The 20041-nt window shown below is 51.3% G+C and overlaps 1 protein-coding gene across 9 annotated transcripts in view, besides 3 other annotated features; it reads right to left on the reverse strand.

The window, feature by feature from the left end:
- SCN5A (sodium voltage-gated channel alpha subunit 5) overlaps positions 1-20041 on the reverse strand; it is a 101626-nt gene that overhangs the window by 22389 nt on the left and 59196 nt on the right. For 4 of the 9 annotated variants that reach the window (NR_176299.1, NM_198056.3, NM_001099405.2 and 1 more), the window contains exons 15-20: positions 16950-17123; positions 15241-15591; positions 10481-10921; positions 8884-9045; positions 6211-6331; positions 4847-5001 (exon numbers count right to left, since the gene is read on the reverse strand). Coding sequence is in view for 8 of the 9 variants with exons in the window: in NM_198056.3 (NP_932173.1) it covers positions 4847-5001; positions 6211-6331; positions 8884-9045; positions 10481-10921; positions 15241-15591; positions 16950-17123 (1404 nt within the window). In the remaining variant the exon portion in view is untranslated. The remainder of the gene's footprint in view (positions 1-4846; positions 5002-6210; positions 6332-8883; positions 9046-10480; positions 10922-15240; positions 15592-16949; positions 17124-20041) is intronic. The other 5 variants (NM_000335.5, NM_001354701.2, NM_001160160.2 and 2 more) reach the window with 2 other exon arrangements.
- Positions 7912-11046: an enhancer, noted in NCBI's record as "VISTA enhancer hs2177". NCBI's record gives its function as "enhancer in: heart[12/13]" and the evidence as "EXISTENCE:transgenic organism evidence [ECO:0001131][PMID:17130149]".
- Positions 9837-10337: an enhancer, noted in NCBI's record as "H3K4me1 hESC enhancer chr3:38621778-38622278 (GRCh37/hg19 assembly coordinates)". NCBI's record gives its function as "activates a minimal SCP1, AML or CMV promoter by ChIP-STARR-seq in primed H9 embryonic stem cells {active_cell/tissue: H9 hESC(primed)}" and the evidence as "EXISTENCE:reporter gene assay evidence [ECO:0000049][PMID:30033119]".
- Positions 11304-12287: an enhancer, noted in NCBI's record as "NANOG-H3K4me1 hESC enhancer chr3:38623245-38624228 (GRCh37/hg19 assembly coordinates)". NCBI's record gives its function as "activates a minimal SCP1, AML or CMV promoter by ChIP-STARR-seq in naive H9 embryonic stem cells {active_cell/tissue: H9 hESC(naive)}" and the evidence as "EXISTENCE:reporter gene assay evidence [ECO:0000049][PMID:30033119]".

Here is a 20041-nt window from a genome sequence, read left to right on the forward strand (position 1 = left end):
GGCGGAGGTTGCGGTGAGCTGAGATCATGCCACTGCAGTCCAGCCTGGGCAACAACAAGAGCAAAACTCCGTCTCAAAAACGAACAAACATACACACAAACACACACCAAAAACAATTTCTAGACTTTCTATCTTTTTTCATGCACTAGAGTACTTTAAATAGCATTGGAATTATTTTCTTCCTTGAGAATGTGAAAGATCTGTTTTTGGGGATGTGAGAAATTAGATTAGCTAGTGGTTATCAATTTGGTTGCCTTAAATTTTCAAGGAATCAGCTTTGGAATTTTATATCAATTTTACTATTTATTTTCTAATTCATTAATATACATTTTTATTACTGCAGATCATATGGGGCAAAGAAAAAAAGGTTATTTTATTAATTACTTGCCTAGGTTTCTTTAAGATTATTTTGTTATATTTTTAATTTCTTGAATTAAATAATTTATGTTCTTTCTATTTAATAATAAAAGTATTTAAGTAATGAATTTTCCTTTTATTACAGCTTTGGCTGTATTCCACATGCAGTATTCTCAATACTGTTATTTTCCAGTTTTTTTCTACCATTCACAGCTTTTTCTCTACCTCTACACTTTTCTTATTTTTCCAGATCTCACGTGGACAGAATTAATGGAATCACAATCTTTGATTTATAGCACACTATCATCACCATTGGTGCATGAGTGGCCTTCTTTTGTTAATTAGTTAATTAATCAATTGAACCCCCCTAAACTACCACCAAACTATTTTCTGTTTGATCCAAGGTTTACTTAAGAATGACTTTTACATTTTAGGTGGTTTTTATTTTTTATTTTTTTATTTTTTTGAGATAGAGTCTCGCTGTCGCCCAGGCTGGAGTGCAGTGGCGCGATCTCGGCTCACTGCAAGCTCCGCCTCCCAGGTTCACGCCATTCTCCTGCCTCAGCCTCCGGAGTAGCTGGGACTACAGGCGCCCGCCACCAAGCCCCGCTAATTCTTTGTATTTTTAGTAGAGACGGGGTTTCACCGTGTTAGCCAGGATGGTCTCGATCTCCTGACCTCGTGATCCACCCGTCTCGGCCTCCCAAAGTGCTGGGATTCCAGGCGTGAGCCACCGCGCCCGGCCAGGTGTTTGTTTTTATCTATTTTTTCCATTTCTAGCACTTTCCATATCTGTAAAATAGGATTAATAATAATACCTATCTCATAGGGTTATTGTGAGAATTAAATGAATTAATGCTTATAAAATGCTTAAAACAGTATCTGGAATATAGCTAGTGCTATTTAAGAGTTAGCTATTGTCTTTATTATTATTATGTTAGGTCAAATTTATTTTATATATATATATGTATTTAGATCTCTCATTGTCTTGTTCTTTCCACTTGAATGTCAAGAACTAATAGAAATATGGCAAAGTTTCCCAGTACTAGTGCACTGTTGTCACTTTTTCCTGTTTGTTTTTTTCTCCAGTGGTTTTGGTTTTATATATTGAAGTGCTATGCAATCCCAAGCAAATGTATACATAATATTTATACATATAATAATATATAAATATGCACTTATATAGGTGCATATTATATATTATAATATATACTTATATTTATATATAGGTTTATATAATTGTATATAATTATATAAATACATATATGTATAATTATATAAATATATATTTTTATAAAGATATATTCATATGTGAATATATTTATATGGATTATATTTATATATTTAATATACAAATATATTTTTTATATTTATATATTTAATATACAAATACATTTTATATATTTATATATTTGTACATATATATTTATATACTTTGTATAATCTATATTTATGTATTTTGTATAAATCTATATTCTTTTATAGATTTTATATATTATATTTATGTGTATGAATATATATGTATTTTATACACACACACATACACACACATTTTTTTTTCTTTTTTTGAGACAGGGTTTTGCTCTGTCACCCAGGCTGGAATGCAGTGGCATGTTCATGGCTCACTGCAGCTTTCACCTCCTGGGCTCAATCAATCCTCCCACCTCAGCCTCCTGAGAAACTGGGACTACAGACATGTGCCATCATGTTTGGCTAATTTTTCTTTTTTGTAGAGATGGGGGTCTCACTATGTTGCCTAGGCTGGTCTTGAATTCCTGGCCTCAAGCGATCCTCCTGTCTCAGCCTCCCAAAGTGTTAGGATTATAGGCATGAGCCACTGCACCCAGCCAATCGTTATATTTTTATTATAGGTTGGACCCTCTTTCTCTCATCTCAAGCTTTTAACATTGAATTCAACAAACAAAAAGCACCCTGAATTTGTTGTCATAATTTGCATTTGCCTGATCTACTTTATTAGTTCACTATATATATAATATATACACATGTAATATATAATATACACACATATATTTTATATATATATATATATTTGTGTGTGTGTGTGTATATATATACATATATATATATATATATTTTAGACAAGGTCTTGCTCGGTCACCCAGGCTGGAAGGCATTGGTGTGAACAGGGCTCACTGCAGCCTTGACCTCTCAGGCTCAAGCAATCCTCTCCCCTCAGCCTCCTGAGTAGCTGGGACCACAGGCATATGCCACCATGCCCAGCTAATTTTTAAAAATCTTTTTGTAGAGGTGGGGTCTTACTATGTTGCTTAGGCTGGTCTTGAACTCCTGGGCTCAAGCCACCCTCCTGCCTTAGCCTCCCAAAGTGCTGAAATTACAGGCGCGAGCCACCATGCCTGGTGGCTTTTAATATTTCTGAGTCGCATTGTTTTAGGTTTGTCATTTGAAAGCACATGGCTGAAGGTTTTTTTTTTTGATCCATCCTGAGTCCTTTCCTTTTAAAAGATGAATTTTATCCAGTTACATTTATTATTAAAACATGTGTTTGATCTTGCCTCTATTATATTATTTTGTTTTCTGATTTTGTTTTCTTGTTGCTTCTTTTTCCTTCTACCTTTTGCTGTGAGATCTCTGTTTTTTCTTTTTTTAAAAAAAATTTTCCCTCAGCAATTTGGAAAGGATATAGTTTGCTTTCTGTTAAACAAGTTTACAACTTTAAATAACACACTCAGATTTCTCTTTTTCTCAATATATCATTGACGTGGTTTTTTAACAACAGAGCTTGGCTGTCTACCCTGATTAGATTCACCAGATGCTTGCCAAAACTCCTCCTCACTTATGCCAAGCTGAGCTTTCCCTCCACAGCCCAGACGAAATGGCTCTGGCTGCCCTTGTTTGTGGCTGTTTAAAAACAAAACTAGTTAACATATTGTCAAACCATCTTTCTCTGAAGCCTACAGAGATTTGGCTCTAGCTGCCAATGGTAAAACAGCAGGCAGGCTGCAAGTCATGGCTCCAGGCCCATTCTGGAACAGAGGCGAGGCAGCATCGGGTGGGGTGGGAGGCCCAGAGGTTTAAAAATGACAGCCACAGTGCCTCCCCATGGTCTAACCCCACAGGAGGAGGCAGCATGGAATGGAGGCACATAGCCTTGGATCAAAGTGCCCTTTCTCTCACTCTGCAGTCTAAAGCATTCTCTGTTAGTTGCTCATCTATGGGGTTCTCACCTCCCCAGCAATACAGGCTCTTACTTTCCCTGGTCCAGCAAAGTTTCCATGTCTTTTTTTTTTTTTTCAGACAGAGTCTCACTGTATCCCCCAGGCTGGAGTATAGTGGTGTGACCTCGGCTCACTGCAACCTCTGCCTCCCGAGTTCAAGTAATTCTCATGCCTCAACCTCCCAAGTAGCTTGGATTACAGGTGAGTGCCACCACACTCAGCAAATTGTTGTATTTTTAGTAGAGATGGGCTTTTGCCATGTTGGCCAGGCTGGTCTCGAACTCCTGACCTCAGGTGATCCGCCTGCCTCGGCCTCCCAAAGTGCTGGGATTACAGGTGTGAGCCACTGTGCCCGGCCATCTTCTGCCTTCTTAATCACCCCTCTCCCTGCTTCACCAGCACCTTCCAGAACCCCCTCCAGGGCTGTTCCATCTCTTCCTAGAAGTGCTTGGAGAGATTAGAGCAGCATGCCTGGGAGCCAGATGGGGCAACCCTGGAGGTCCTCACTGCTCCTCCTGGCTTCAACACCTCCCTATTCTCCACAGTCCAGCTCTATCTGCTTCCTCTAGGGAGACTACCCTGATTGCTCCACCCACTCTGGCCTCCCATCACCCTGATTGGGTGTTCCTGAGGCCAGGGCTGGGGCCTCCTCCTGTAGCTCCCACATGGCTGAATACATAGAGCTAGATACAAGGAGGGTTTTTAGAAGACTGACTGAACAAATGAGAAGTCAAGGCAAAGGACTCTGGAATCTGACTGCTTGGGTTCAAATGCCAGATCTGTGGTTCCTGAGTGGTGGGACCTTGAGCAAGTTACTTAATGCTTCTACAAAGAGTTGTCATGGGGATTACGCATCATCATGTGTGAACTATAGGGCGCAGCCTCCAGCCTGAAGACATAGACTCAGTGGAGCCAGCACTGTACTGTGAGCCAGCGTGGTTAACTGCACTGTGACAGCTTGACAGAACACTGATGCTGTGTGCAGGTGGGTGTGTCACCAGAGCTCTGGTGTAGGAGGCTGGTGATCTGGGGCAAATCATTTCCCTTTTGTGGAACAAAGACAAAGGCCTGGACACATGCCCTCTGTGAGCCCTTCCTGCTCTGGCCTCCATACGTGCCGTGGGGTTGAGAGTTTGTGAGCTGTTCCCTGCTCTGGGGGTCTGGAGAGCACATTTTCAGCAGAGGCTCTGCCCCAGTTTCTGACCTGACTTTCCAGCTGGAGACCTCCTTTCCCTGCCCTCCCCTCCTCCTCCAGCCGTCCCTGCCACAACCCTGCATCCCCAGGAGGGTACCAGCGCTCCACTGCTGAGTAGGATCATGAAGATGATGAATGTCTCGAACCAGCTGTGCTCCACGATGTGGTAGCAGGTCTTGCGCAACCGCCACCAGACCTTCCCTGGGGCCTGTGTGGTGTCCACCGCACAGCAGGGACAGCGCCGGACACAGCCTATGGGAGAGAGTGAGGGTCAGGCCCACCTCAGGGCCTGTGAATGCCCACATCTAATGGCAGAAGGTTGGATGGTTGAAGAGATGACTGAGAGAAAGAGCTACGATGATGGGGGTGGCGAACAGGGCAATATGGTGAGCAGGGCCGTGTGAGCGAGGGCCGTGGGCACCACCCGTGGGGGCCACACGCTCTGCGGGCACTCTTTGAGGAGGATGGATGGACTGAGCACCCAGCGAGTGGGTGAACAGCCTGGCAGGTCTGGGCAGGGACAAGGCTGGGCTGGGATAGGTTCCAGCTTGTCCGCTGCTCATCTGGGAAACTGTCCCCCTGGGAAAATGGTAGGAACTCCTGGGCATTCCCTGGGTCTTCTCCATGTTTGTAGTTTCTGAGCCTTGGGAAGGGCAGATCCCTCAATGAGAGCCCCCATGGATGTGTCACATGGAGGGCAAACTCTCATTTTGTTTTTCTCTTTTTTTGAGATGTTTCACTCTTGTTGCCCAGTGTGGAGTGCAATGGTGCAATCTTGGCTCACTGCAACCTCCGCCTCCCGGGTTCAAGAGATTCTCCTGCCTCAGCCTCCTGAGTAGCTGGGATTACAGGTGCCTGCCAGCGCGCCCAACTAATTTTTTGTGTTTTTAGTAGAGATGGGGTTTCACCATGTTGGCCAGGCTGGTTTTGAACTCCTGACCTCTGGTGATCCACCTGCCTTAGCCTCACAAAGTGGGGATTACAGGTGTGAGCCACCGTGCCGGGCCAAGCTTATTTTATCCCCAGCTCATTTTATCCCCAGCTATCCTCCAAATATACCACCAATCCATAAAAGCTATAGATGCCAATCAACATGGCCACATGTCATCCCTGCCTCAAGGATTTACAGAGGGCCTACTATGTGTCAGGCACCGTGCCAGGGCCTGGTGGTACAGGAGCGAATTAGACCCAGACCCTACTGCTGTTGGGCATACAGTGGTGCCAACACACCACAAATACAGTGTCTCCAGTCCTTGGTGCAGCTGTCCAGCCCAGCACTCCATGGGCAGACACGTCAGGCAGATGGAGGAACCCCCAGGGTCACAGAGGAATGGAGGAGGTGGGCAGATATCTAAGGCAGGGTGTTGGTGCCACGTGGCCCTGGGCTCCAAGGAGCTGCTGGTCCTCCTGTCCCCTCTGGGTGGAACTGAGGCTAGGGCAGAGGGCTGCCCGGGCCATTACCTTCAGTGAAGCAGTCCTCTGGGTCCTTGACATCCTGGCCGAGGTCAGGGATCTGCTCCAGGAGCTCAGCGGTGTTGGTCATGTCTGCTGTGCTGCCCTCGGAGCAACTGTCCTCTGGGGTCTATGGACAGGGGTGTGGGACAGGGTGGGAAAGGGTGTGAGTGTGGGCTGAGTAGCAGCCTTTGGCCTCGAGCCCAGAGTCTGCAGGAGCTTAGGGCTCCCTGAAGGGAGGCAGCATCTTCATGACGCACCCTGGGACCTGCACAGAGCCACTTTTGCCTGTCAGGGCTGGGCCAAGGCTGGACCTCGGGGTTCCCGGGTCTGTGATTCTGGTCTGCTGGAGTCTAAGGCTGGGGTGTGGGGGCTGTGAAAGAGCTCTGGGAAGCCACTGGGGATGGGGACTGCATCTAGCTGGGAGCAAAACGGACATGGGGTAGCAACCTGGACACACAGTGGGACATGGACACATCGTGGTGGTGTGGCACACACAGTGGAAACAGGCATGTCACATCCAGAACAGAGTCAGAACCAGGATCCCGGGCAACACACAGGCAGCAAGGTCAGACCGCAGAGAACAGGCCAGCAACCCCACCCACACATTTTGCGCAGTTCCCGTGGGTTCTGGTGTGCTGGACAGAGCCCGGAGACTGAGAAGGTGATGGAGCCCTCCACTTCCTGTCCTTGCAAGTCTGCTGCCCTGACCTCAATAACTTGATTATAGGGAGGCTACAGAGAGGCATGTGCATGCAGGTGTGCCCTTGTGAGTGTCTGTGTGTGTCACTTGTGGGTGTGGGTGTAAAGGGGTGTTACAGGGGCCACTGTGGGTACCCTGCCCAATTCCACTACATAAGACCACTGCACCCATTCCCAGCCACTTGAATGCTAGCTGCTTAGCTGGCCCTCCTCCAGAAAATCATCTTCAGCTGGGGGACTGCCGTCCCAAGGGGTGGCCGGTGCCCAGCAGCCACTGATACAAGAATACAGAAGGCCAGCCCCTAGCCTTGAGTTGGGGCAATGCTGTGGTGCAATTCATGCCCCAGAGCTCTACTTGGGACAGGATGAGGCTGACTCCAGCTGGAAAGCCTTTCCGTAGCTTCCTTCTTTGCTTCATCCTGTTTCTCTTACTTTCTCCTGAGAACACCCCTCAACAAGTCATTTGCATAGGAATCCCTCTGCTTCTAGGGAACGGTACGTCAGGGGAGGAGTGTCAGTGAAGGAAGAAAATCCATCGTTTGCATCAGGTCAGGTCCAAAGACCCCATCTCCGCTGCCCCCGCCTCACATCATCTCAGGCTCAGGCTCCATTTAGAGAGGGGCTTGTCTGAATTCTTGGGCATGGCTATGCTCCTACAGCTGCCTTCTCTCTTCTCTTTTCCTTTGATGAATCAATCTGCTGATGTCTCAGGGGCTTCTTTTCCATTTTTGAGATCTGTGATGGGAAAGGGGTGGATTCTGGAGGGAAAACAGAGCCTACTGCTCAGAGAAGGTGGATCCTTGGCCAGAGAGGTGAGGCTCAGTCTTTTGTGGTCCCCCATGGCATTGAGGGTTCCTTCCCCTCTCCTCCTAGCTCAGCTGGGGGATGAAAGGAGTTGGGTGATGAAAGGGGCAGGCCAGAGGAGAGCAGCATGCTTATTTTTTCTTTCCAAACACTGGAGCCGTCTGAAGTCCATGGGGCTGTCATGTGAGAGGACACGTTCTCAGGTCCTACTGCAGGTGAGACGAGGGAGTCCCTTTCCCGGGAAAACTCCAGCCTGTTTCTCCTTATATAGGCTCCCCCATGAACTGATTTGAAGAAAGGAAGACTTATAAAATTCATTCAAAGGTTAGCATCCGTGTGAGAGAGCCACTTCTCTCCCATGGCATTTTGCCTCTCTCCTGTGTCTTCCTGTCCCCACATGCCTTCACAGCTCAGACCATCAGGGGAAGAACCGTGATCTGCACAGTCAGGAAGATGACTCCAGTAGGCCCTTGTGCTCCAAAAACTGACCATGCTTGCAAAGCTCACATGGGCCCATCTCACAAAAGAGGAGAAGGCACAAGTGCTGGACGGAGTGAGGTCAAGCTGCAGGACAGTGGCCACCAAGCACTCTGAACACGTGCCCTCCACCTTCCGTGGGCTAGATGTGAGTGAGGCTGGGCGGCTTAGTCAGCAATGCCACAAGCCTTTTGCTCAGGGGTTGCGAACTCCAATGCTTACAGAATCAGGCGGGTAACCTGTTCACCATGTTGGCCAGGCTGATCTCGAACTCCTGACCTCAAGTGATCCACCTGCCTCGGCCTCCCAAAGTATTAAAATTACAGGCGTGAGCCACCGTGCCCAGCCTCCTGAAGTCTTCTTTGGATGGGGAGATTCACAGGACAAACATTTGCCAAACAGGACCAAAACACAGGGATGGAGTATGTGGAGAGGGTGAACACATGGAGGTAGTGGGTTAGTCCTGCATCAGAGTTTGGGACCAGAATTTCCAGAATTTCCCATTGGCCCTGGGCCCTGTACCGTCTCTCCCCTGTCAGGACAGGGATGCCCACCCTCCCCTCTGCAGACTGGTCTTCCACGCTGCCTGTGACAGTGGCTGTGGCTCCCAACAGCAAATGCAGGCATGCACCTCTCACAGCCTGGCTCTGACCCAAGCAGCGGCGCCCAGCTGGCTTCAGGGACAAAGGCATGCATTACCTCACCGCACCCTGGGGCCTGGGGTTCCGCTTTCCACTGCTGCCGCCAGTCGGCCTGAGATGCACTGGCCTCGGCCTCAGAGGAGGCAGTCGCTGACACCTGGCTCCAGGTCCTGGAATCCGGAGGGGCCTCTGGGCCACCGGACACAGGCTGGGATTCCTGCTGAAAAGACCCCAGCCTATGAGCTGAGTCCACACACCCAGCCAGAGGGTCTCCAGGGCCCTGACCCTGGGGGTTTCAGACCCTGCCCATGCATCTGGGGCATTGCCTCCAGCTGTCTTCATGGGGCCTCCATCTCACTGAAGACTCCTCCCTCAAGGGGCCTGAGCAGGCAGGTGGGAGGCTCCTGGTAGGTCCAAGCAAAGGGCCTAGAGACAGGAAGCCCCTGGCCGGCCTGGCATAACTCCCCCTCCCCAGACTCCCTGGAAGGGTGCAGCTGGGCCACGATGCCCAGCTCACAAATGCTGGCCACTGTACTTAGGAAGGTCACACTGACTTCCCTCATGAATCCCTGTGGCACTCCCGGCTTGCGTGCGCGCACGCGCGCGCACACACACACACACACCCCCACACACACCACACACACCCAGGAGCCAGAGTCAATGGGCTCAAGAGAAGGAACAGAGAAGGGAAATGAGAGACAGCCGGAATTCCCCTCCTGTGCTGGAGATCATTGGAAACTGTGGTCCTGGCAACACCAACACTCCCTCTCCCTGAGCAGACATTGCCACTGCCCCGCAACCTGACTTGAAAGGGTGGCCTCTGGGACCACAGGGAGGCAGGAGGATGTGAAACCAAGCCCAGAGCCTTAGATCAAGTTCCACACATGGGGAGCAGCTGCTCTCCACAGCCAGGCCCAGCCAGTGCAGGCCCAGAGGAAGCAGCCAAGATGGGCCTGACTCAACAGGGAGAACACTCCTGGGGGCTTGACCTAAAGCCCTGAGAAGAAGCCATCTGAGCCTGGCTCAGGCCAAGGGAGAACGGAGGGGAGGGGAGGGGTGGGCCCTGCCTGCTTTGTGCAGACTCTGGTCCCAAGTGTTAAAAATAACAGGTTGCGAGATAAGATAGTGCTGTCCCTGACACCTCAGTCTTAGGGATGCTTATTTTTAAATCTCAGAATGAGCCCTGGGTGTGGGAGGAGGGGAAGGGGCAGTCTGGAGGTCAGAAAACCATACTTCTCTTTCGCCAAGACACTCTACCTTGCCAGTCCTGGAGGGGGGACAATGGTCAGTGTGGGAACTGGGGGCTAGAGGCTCTGTTCTAAACTCATGAGGAACACCCAGCAAGTCTCTCTTGCCATGCCTCCGTTTCCCTGTCTGTACAATGAGCTCCCCATGCCCAGCCAGGGCATGAGTGGTGGATAGCAGCCCCTCCCCAGGTCAGCTTCTGGACTGAGTTAGGAAGGGAGGGTTGAGGGCTGGTCTCAGCACCCCTCTGAGAGGCTGGCTGTTGTGGGGAGGGCCTGCCTTCTACCCCTACCCACTGCCAAGGCAGTCTGGGAGGGGAAGCTGCTTTGAGAGAGGCTGGGTGGCCCGGACAGCAGAGCTCTGGGCCCTGTATATGTAGGTGCCTTATACATGCAGGGGTGAGGGCCCACCTGCTTGCTGGACTCCTCCTCCGTGCCCAGGCTGTTCTCCTCATCTTCTTCTTGGTCATCTGTGTCTGACTCGGCCACAGCGATGGGCACACACACGGGCTCTGGATCCCCGGGGGTGCCCTGGCCTGGTTGCTCGCCTTCCTCAAACCGTGTTTCCTTGCGGGTGGGAGGCACCTTCTCCGTCTCTGGGGGTGGCGGGGAGTAGGGGGTGGCAATGCAGCTGGGCAGCTGGCCCTGGGCGGCAAGGGCTGCGGGCTTCTGAGGCCGCTGCCGCAGGAGACCACAGCAGAAATCCCAGGTGGTCCGCTTGACAAAGCGCAGGCCCCTCTGGATGCGGGCCAGGGCCAGCTGGAGGTTGTTCATCTCTCTGTCCTCATCAGGGGCTGTGAGGTTGTCTGCACTGAAGGAGCTGAGCAGCAAGGCCAGGAAGAGATTCAGGACCTGTCGAGATAATGGGTCAGGCTCACCAAGGCACTGCACCATGCCAAGCCATCCAGTCCCAGTTCTATGATGGGGAAACTGAGGCCCAGAGACCTTTAAGACTGCCTGTGACAAACAGCTCCGAGGCTTGAATCCAGGGCCCTGAGCCCTCATCCTAACCCCTCATTTTATTGAATGTGGAAGGTTTGGCTATAAAAGAAAATACAAATTTGAATCCCTCTTTCCAAGGGCCCAGACACAGTCTGAATTGAGGATGTCGTGTCCTGGCTCAGGTTCAATGGGAGAACTATGCGTGCATTCAGTGTCAAAGCGAGGGGCTAGCACAAAGTCACACACATTGAGCCCTGTCTTGGCACCAGCGGCTTCTACATGCAAGCCTTCTTCTCCCTTTACCTCTTCCTGCTGCCTTAGGAGTAGTGAGGGGCAGTGGGGTCAGGATGGGCACAGGTCTCCTTCCTGGGAAGTGTGAGTCCAGGGACAAGACAGAATCCCACCGAGAAGCCACACAGAGCTTTTGGGACTTTGTTGGAAAGAGGAGGAGCAGTGACCTGCCTCTGAGTTCCCTATTGAAGCCAGCTTGGTGCTCAGAGGCCTGGGGCTGCTGCTGTAGGGCACACACTACCTGAGGCCCAGGTCTGCCACACTTTCCAGGTGAGGGACGCTGGGACAGGGCAGAGAAAGGTGCAATAGCTGGAAAAGAGGTCAGGAAGGCACAGGCAGCCTTCAGGCATTTGGACTAATCATGGGGTCAGGACATGGAGAGCTGACCATGTCTAGGCTGTGAGGGGTGCTAGGAAGGGTGCTGTGTGAAGGTCAAGGCCTGCTATTCTGCAGGGAGCCGGGGGAGGTGGCAGTGTCGGAGGTTCCACAGGGCGCAGTATTTTGTTGAGGTCTATCATCAGGGCTTAGGGACTTGAGACTTCTTAAGGGGGTTTGCATAACCCTCTGCCTTTGGATGGTTCTGGAGAATTGCTTGTCGTTAAGCCCTCCTGCAAGTGTGAAGCTTTAGCTTTTGTTTAAAAAGAAGGCCTTTGATGTGTGACAAGCGGCTGGGCTTGTGTCCATTTCCCAGTCACATGGAGGGTCAGTTAAGCTGACGGTGGGTCGATTCCCACATGCATGGGTCAGACTGGCCCATGGCTCACCAGGCCGCCAGGCCACCATGGGCTTGGTGTCTCCTCCCTCCCAGCACCTTTATAGCAGGGTGGTGTGTGAGGGTGGGTGCACAGTTCTTTTTGGAAATCCACTCTGAGACTCTGTTCCGGTTTCTCAAGAGCCTCTAAAACACACCTCTACCAGGGACCCCATACCTATCAGCAAGCTGGGAATGAGAATTCTGATAAAAGCGGCCTCAGAAACATGCCTTTGGCTTAAAAGTAATACATATTCATGTGGAATATGTACAGAAGGTGAAGAGGTAGCCTCTCCCGTACTATCTCTACGGAGAGATGATCACTTTTGACACTTGGCACTAGGGGTAAGGCATGTGATACCATTCTGAGCTGCTATCTACACCGACCTCGGGCCTGGTCCCTGGCCTTTGTCCACAAGGACCCAGGCATGGCCACCTCCATTCCCAGGAAGGATGCCCACTGGATCCTTCCCCCACAGCCTCACTCACACCAGGCCCTGCATCCCCCAACCTCCAGGAGTCCTGGGCCTAGGCTGGGAGTAGGGCGGGTGGTGTGGGTACCTGGGCAGCCATGCCCACCCACAGAGTCTAGGGCCCTCCCTGTCGCTGGCTTCAGAAGTTCAGCTTCTTCCAGTGCTTTCCCCATCAATCGTGCTGCTGCTGCTCCCAGCCCTGCCTGATCATCACTTCCCATTTCAATGGCAATCTTGCTTCCTCCCACGCCTGGCAGCGGCCCAATTCCTTAGGCGGCTGGGGAGGGGGCTGTGTGGGCTGGCATTAGCTCCCTCCTCCAGCAGCCTCTAATTTTCTCATCCCCAGGCAGATCTGCTGGGAAATCGCAGGGCTCCGTGTGTGAGGGGTGGCTCAGCCTGGCCCTGGGCTGAGTGCTTGGCAATTCTCATTCTCCCCAGAATAGACAGTCTGGTAGGCCCTGGGGTTGGGATGGGCTGAGCAACCCTTCACCCCAAGGGATAGCTAGTTTGGGGGGACATAAGGGGGAGTTGGGGGCCAGCCAAAGAGCAGGGTTCTAGTGGCACTATGCACTGATGCCCTGGCTCCTCTCTCTCTGGGCTCTGCACTCCTCTGGCCTCTGGGCTCATGGGCTGGTGGCAGACTGCTCCCAGATTGGCCTGTCCTGTCCTGGCCTGGATAAGGCACATGGGAGAAGAGAGCAGACAGGTTTGGGGAAAGGCTCTGGAATCTATAGCCCATAGTACTTGCCCCACAGCAGCCTGAAAAAGTGAATGTAAAACCTCTCTGTGAGCTGATGTGACTGCACTGCCCACGACAGAGACATACAGCTACAGGTGCGAGCCAGACAATGCAGGTATGCTTCTTGAGCATGTGTGGGCCAACTGTGTACCCAGCAAGGTGGCTTCATGTCCACAGCGGACACGGATTGCTGCCTGAACCACTGACGACCCCAACCTTCCCTCTTCCTAAGGTGCCTTCTCTGGTATTTAAATTTTGGCTTTTCTCAGTTCCAGAATTCCCCACATTGGAAAGACACAAGACGAGATGCACCTGCCCAAGGACAGACAGGTACCCACAGGAGCAAAGGTGTGGGCCCCTCATGATGGGACAGCAGAGACTCCTACCACGCTACTCAGGGTGACATATAAAGCTCCTATGGGCCCCACCTTACCTGGACCACCACCTGTCTGCACCTGTGCTTTGCTCATCCTGTTCCTTCCCTCTTCAGCATTGCCTGTTTATCAGGTCAGCTCCAAAATCTCTTCCAGAAAGATTTCCTTGATTTTCCTAGCTGAATGGGAACAGTACCATGGTCTCCTCCTTAATGGTTCTGATCACTCTGACTAGTCTGAGAGTTATTTCAGGCCTGTTTGAACTCTCTACCTCCCCAATAATCTCTTAAGCTGGTGAATGATGTCAGGGCTGGCGCTAGACCTCATTTGCCTCTGTATTCCCAACAGCATGTGGCACAATGTTTTCCATGCAATAAGGGCTTAGAAAATGTTTAAGATAAATTGAAAAAACATGTGATAATTCATTGATAGTGTATGACAGTAAAATAATGGGTAGATGAACAGATAAGTAAATGAATGAAAACAGAATGAGTAAATAATGAATAAATAGGTAAGTAAGTGGGTAAATGAATGAATGAGCAAAATGCAGTGAAGAGGCCAGGCACAGTGGCTCACACCTGTAATCCCGGCACTTTGGGAGGCCGAGGTGGCGGATCACCTGAGCTCAGGAGTTTGAGACCAGACCGGCCAACATGGTGAAACCCCGTCTCTACTAAAAATACAAAAAATTAGTCAGGCGTGGTACATGCCTGTGATCCCAGCTACTAGGGAGGCTGAGGCAGAAGAATCACTTGAACCTGTGAGGCAGAGGTTGCAGTGAGTCGAAATGGCGCCATTGCACTCTAGCCTGGGCGACAAGAGTGAAACTCAGTCTCAAAAAAAAAAAAAATGCGGTGAGTGAGTGAATGGATGGATGGGTCAATGAGTGAGTAAGTAGACAACTGGATAGATAGATGAGTAGATAGATGGAATTGGTGAATGAGTGAATGGTGAGTTGATAGATGGGAGGTGGATGAATGAGTAGAGGAGTGAATGGTTGGGTGAGTGGACAGATGGTTGATGGATGAAGGGAGGGATGGATGGTTGTGTAAGTGAATGGGTGGGTACATAGATGAATGGGCATATGGATGCATAAATGTGTGAATAGGGGTTGATGAATAGGTGACTGATAAGCAGATTAATGAAAGGATGAGTGAATGAGTAAAAGTGGGTTGGTGGATGAATGACAAGGTGAATGAGTGGATAAATGGATGGGTGGTTTGGTAACTGGGGAAGAATCTACTGATCCTTCTGATTGCTGGAGTGGTGAACAGATAGATTGGTGTGTTCATTGGTGGGTGGGTGATTGATAAGTGGATGATCAATAGATAGATGGCTGTATGAGCATATAGGTGCAAGAATAAATGGGTACATTGAATAGATGGTTTGTTGATAAGTACATAGATGGATGGGTAAGTGAGTGCATGGGGGGGGTAGGTGAAATAAATGAGTGAGTAGTTAGATGGAAAGGTGGGTAAATGAATAGATGGATGGACGGATGGGTAGATGGATTGATAGAAGGGTAAGTAAATGGATAATTGGATGGGTGGGTAGCTGGGTAGATGAGTGGATGGTGTGTGTGTGGCCCTTGGCCAACTTACCACAAGGTTGCCAATGACCATAACAAGCAAGAAGACCAGCAGGCATAATGACTGCCCCGACACCTCCATGCAGTCCCACATGGTCTCGATCCACTCTCCACAGAGGATGCGGAAGATGATGAGGAAGGCATGAAAGAAGTCCATCATGTGCCAGCGAGGCAGCAGGCCTGAGTCGCTGTCCCTCAGCTCCGAGTAGTTCTTGCCAAAGAGCTGCATGCCCACCACAGCAAAGATGAACACGATGATGGCTAGCACCAGTGTCAGGTTCCCCAGTGCCCCCACTGAGTTCCCGATGATCTTGATGAGTGTGTTCAGGGTGGGCCATGATTTGGCCAGCTTGAAGACCCGCAGCTGGGGAAGGAGGAAGAGGAGGGGACCTTGTGAAGGGCTCTGGCTCCTGCTGCCCATGGGCACCCTCACTCTCTCTAGCTCCTGCCTGAAAGCCCAAGGAGCCCTTGGAGGGCACTGACACCTATTCCCCCCCCGCCATTTCTCCCAGAGCACCCACTACTGTTTCTCTCCACAGCCTGAGGGCAGCTTCACTGGGCACTGCTCTGGGAGTCAGGTCAACAGCTCCAGCCTCACCTTCCCAACTCAGCCCTTCTCTTTGTCCCCACACCAGCCTCCTCTCTGCCTTGGCCTCACTTCCAGGAACTGCCCACTAGATTCTCCCAACAGGGAATGTCCTTGCTCTTTCACACCTGTCCTCATCAGGTATCCTTTGGGACAGCTCAAACCATCTCTGACTGGTCACCTCTGCCTCCCAGTCATCACAGAGAAAGGGGGGAAGGTGCTTAACACTTACTGAATGTCTACGTGCCAGGCCTTGTGCTTAGAATGGATGAACTCAATCAGAACTCCCAATAACCACATGAGGTTGGCACCGCTATTACCTCATTTGACAGAAGAAGCTGCCAACCCTCACAGGTGGAGTAACTTGTCTAAGTCCCTTGGTTCATAGCAGCTGAGTCAGGATTAGAACCCACGGCCTTGGCTTTCCCTCCTGCCCCCACCGTCCTGCCTTCCTACACACTCCCCCGACCCCACTCCCATCCACTGTATGTGCAGCAACCCACAGTGCTCAGGACCTCCTCCAGGAAGCCTTCCCTGACTATACCTCCCACCCCATGTCTGGACCTCTCAAGCATTTCAAGCTCCAAGTGTGGTCCACAGACCAGCAGCTTTGACATCACCTCAGACCGACTGAATCAGCATCTGCATTTTAACAGGATCCCCAGGTGATTTGTGTGTGCATTAATATTTTAAAGATGCTGATTCAGAAAGCAGCAGGCAGAACCTCGGATGAGCAGTTAGCAGCCCAGCTCCCTCTGTTATCTGCCATGTGGCTGTGGGAAATTCGTCTCATCTCTCTGAGTCTCCTCATCTGTGAAATGGAAATGTAGTAATACCAGCCCCACTCCTGGATCCTGTGAGGGCTAAAGGGTTCACTGTGGACCACAAAGGGCTTTGCAAATCATCCTGATGGCCACCACAATTGCTCCTCTGGAAGAATGTCTCCTGCCTTTCCTGCCTCTGTACCCCCTACCTCACCAGCACTGGGCCAGGCATCCAGGGGTACCAAGCAAATGGCTGTTGGGTGAAGGCATGACAGATCAAAGTAGGGATGACCAAGTGATGACCTCAGATTGGGTTGTGCCGAGCCTTCCACACCCCCCACCATCCCCCATGCAGTGGGTCCAGCCAGGTACCAGGCGGAAGGAGCGCAGCACCGACAAGTTGCTCATGCGGGACAGGCCCAGCTCCATGAGGCTAAGGATGACGATGATGCTGTCGAAGATGTTCCAGCCCTGTTGGAAGTAGTAGTAGGGGTCGAGGGCAATGATCTTGAAGGTCATCTCTGCTGTGAAAATCCCTGTGAAGACCTGAGGAGGGAGCAGGAATTGTTTGGGATGGAAAGACTCCCTGGCCAGCAGGGGCACCTGCCTCTTGACTCTTGCTGTGGCAGGGGCTCCCTCCAGGGCTGCCAGCTCTGATTGCGCCCAGGCTCCCAGTAGGGGTTTGCTTGGCTGTGGCCCAGCCCCTTGGGGACAGCTCTCTTCTCCAGCCTGCTCTCCCAGCCCTTGCAGCTGCTCACCAAGCATACCAGGCACACCAGCTTGGCCTTCAGGAATGGCCTGGGCCCTTCGCAGGCTCCACAGAGACTCACAGCTCTAGGGGGCACCTGCGATGGACAGTGACATGACCTCGCACTAGACTTCTGATCCGTGTGTCCACAGGAAGGGCTTTCACCCATCACATGCCAAATCCATGCATCAACACGATGCTCATGGCTCCCCTGACCCAGGGCCTCTGTCCTTGCTGTTCCTGCTCCTCAGGAGGCCCTTCCTCCTCATCTACCTGCTGGACCCTGCCCACTGTGATAATCAGCAGCCATTGCTTCCTGAGGGCTACGTGCCAAGTGCTGGTCACAACACTTTGCACATGTTGTTTCTTTTGATTCATCCAACAACCCCATGAGGAAGTATCATTGCCTGCAGTTTATAGGTAAGGAAACTGAGGCACTGAGAGGTTAAGTAACTTGTCTGGGGTCATGTAGCTATTAAGTTTGAGAATGAGGAGAGGAAACTAGTGCTGCTCTTCAGAATTTAGGGAAACTTCCTCTCTCTTCTAGGAACATTCCTGAGTGGGCAGAGGCTGAGCTCTGCCCGGTTCATTGACTTACGCGTCCTGAGCTGCCCAGCCTTGGCTGGCAGAACCTGTGGTCAAGGATCCCATGGTGCAGTGGACCAGAAACCTGTGCCAGCTGCCCTGCAGTGTGCCAATTGATGGGAGCCTGGTTCCCAGAGGAGAGAATGTTCTGTGACGGTGTGGATGGCAGGAAGTCAGGGTCCTGTACGCAGGGCCTCTTGACCATGCTGAGGAGTTGGGGGGCTGTCCTGAGGGCAGTGAGGAGGCACTCAGGGTCTTTTGGAGGGGAGGGCTAAAGCCAGAGGGCCAGAGTACCCCTGAGAACAGTGTCAGGCCTGCAGCAGTTGTGAGGAGGTGGGGGTCAAAGACGGGCATGGCTGAGGCACCTCGCTGGGGTTGGCAATCAGGTGGGGAGGTCACTCTGGTCTGGGCACCCGCCCTGACGGGGCTCTGTGCTAGGAGAGGCATTTGCTGGTCACCCCAGTGCCATCCTCTCACCATCAGCTCAGAAGAGGCCCTGTGGAGGTGGGCTGGAGGGCAGCGGGATGCTGTTGGCTCAGAGAGAGGCACCGGGAGGGCAGGTGGGTGGGCTCCTCAGCACTGCCACACAGGGCACCACCCACCAGCCCAGCCCTCCTGACTTCAGGGGTCCCTTTAGTGCTTGTGCCCAGAGGGAACTGTTCCTCCCTCAGCCGGGTCTTGGGAAAGGGAGGGACCCTGAAATCCTCCAGCCTCAGTTTGCATTCCTCACACGTAGAGAGACAGCCTTGAGACCTGCTTCTCTCCCCAGCACCCAAACCTGCTTTCATAACTTTTCCAACCCCCAGCCCCATTGCCTGTTGCTCTCCTGTTCCAGCCACGCCTGTTCCTTGCTGTTCCCTCCTCGGGGCCTTTGCACTTGCTGCTGCTCCCTTTCCCCGGGTCATGCCTTTCCCCAGCCGCATAACTCACTCCCTTCAGAGCCACCTGATCCATGGGCGTCCTGGTAACTTTAAATGTGCCTCCCTCCCACCACATTCCTTATCCCTCATCCTTGCTTCGTTTCCCTCTGCTTCACGCCACCATCTAACAACTATTTGTTTATTGAGCCTCTTCTGTTTAGAAGATAAGCTGTGTGATGGCAGGGACCTTTCCCTACTGTACCTGGAATGGTAACCAGCCCATAGGTCGTCCTCTAGTATCTGTTGAATAGATGTACAAATGTTTGAGCCTTTGGCCTTCCGTGCGCCATATCCTGCCTGTTCCGTGCTGCTCTGCTTGACTTCCAGGAGCCTTCCCTACCCAGCCTCAGACACACACAGCTGTGCTTAGAGCCCTCACTCAGCAGCACAGCCTGCACAGCTTTGCTGAGAGCTCCTACAGGTGGGGCCCGGGTAGCGCCTCACTTGGACCCCCACTTTTGGTCTTCCCCAGCACTGCCGGGGTGCACCAGGGTGGGTCTGGCACCCATGAGTGCCGACGCTCATTTCTAGAGAATGGAGCTCAGGAAAAGCCCTGCACCTCACTTTGCGCAGGCTCTCAGCTGTTTTGGTGGTGAGATGGCAGTTATCAGGTGGAGCTAGGACTCAGGAAAAAAGAGACAGGAGAGGCTCGTGGGGAATGCCCTTCGGGGAAATGATAAAAGAATTTTCAGGGATCAACAGCATCACCTGGAAGCTCTTTGGAAATGCAGAAACTTGCAAGGCCCCAGACCTGCTGAATTAGAATCTACATTTTGACCAGGTTCCTGGGATTCGAACTTCAAGTGCTGTTTTTGACCATGAGCTCTGAAACTTGGTGCACTCTGTAATCACCTAGGGAGCTTTAAAAATATGGATGCCTGGGTCGCATCCAAGAGATTCTAGTTACATTGGACTGGAGTGGAGCCCAGGTGTGGGGATTTAAAAAAAAAAAAAAAACCCAACAACTTCCCAGGTGACTCTAATGTGCAGCTAAGCTTGAGAAGTACATACATTTTGGTAACAGACCTCTTCCTTCCACAGGCTCATGCCAGGCTTTCTAAGGCCATGCGATCAAAGCTTCATGGTTTAAGATGTGCAGAGAATTGTGGCCAGGCCCGGGTTCCAGAGCAGGGGCTGCCTCTGTGTGATCTTGGGCCAGTTTCTTCATCTCTCTGAGCCTTGAGTGTCCTCATATATAAAATGGGGATAAT

This window comes from Homo sapiens, chromosome 3, assembly GCF_000001405.40.
Source record: "Homo sapiens chromosome 3, GRCh38.p14 Primary Assembly".
In the NCBI taxonomy this organism is placed as follows: domain Eukaryota; kingdom Metazoa; phylum Chordata; class Mammalia; order Primates; family Hominidae; genus Homo; species Homo sapiens.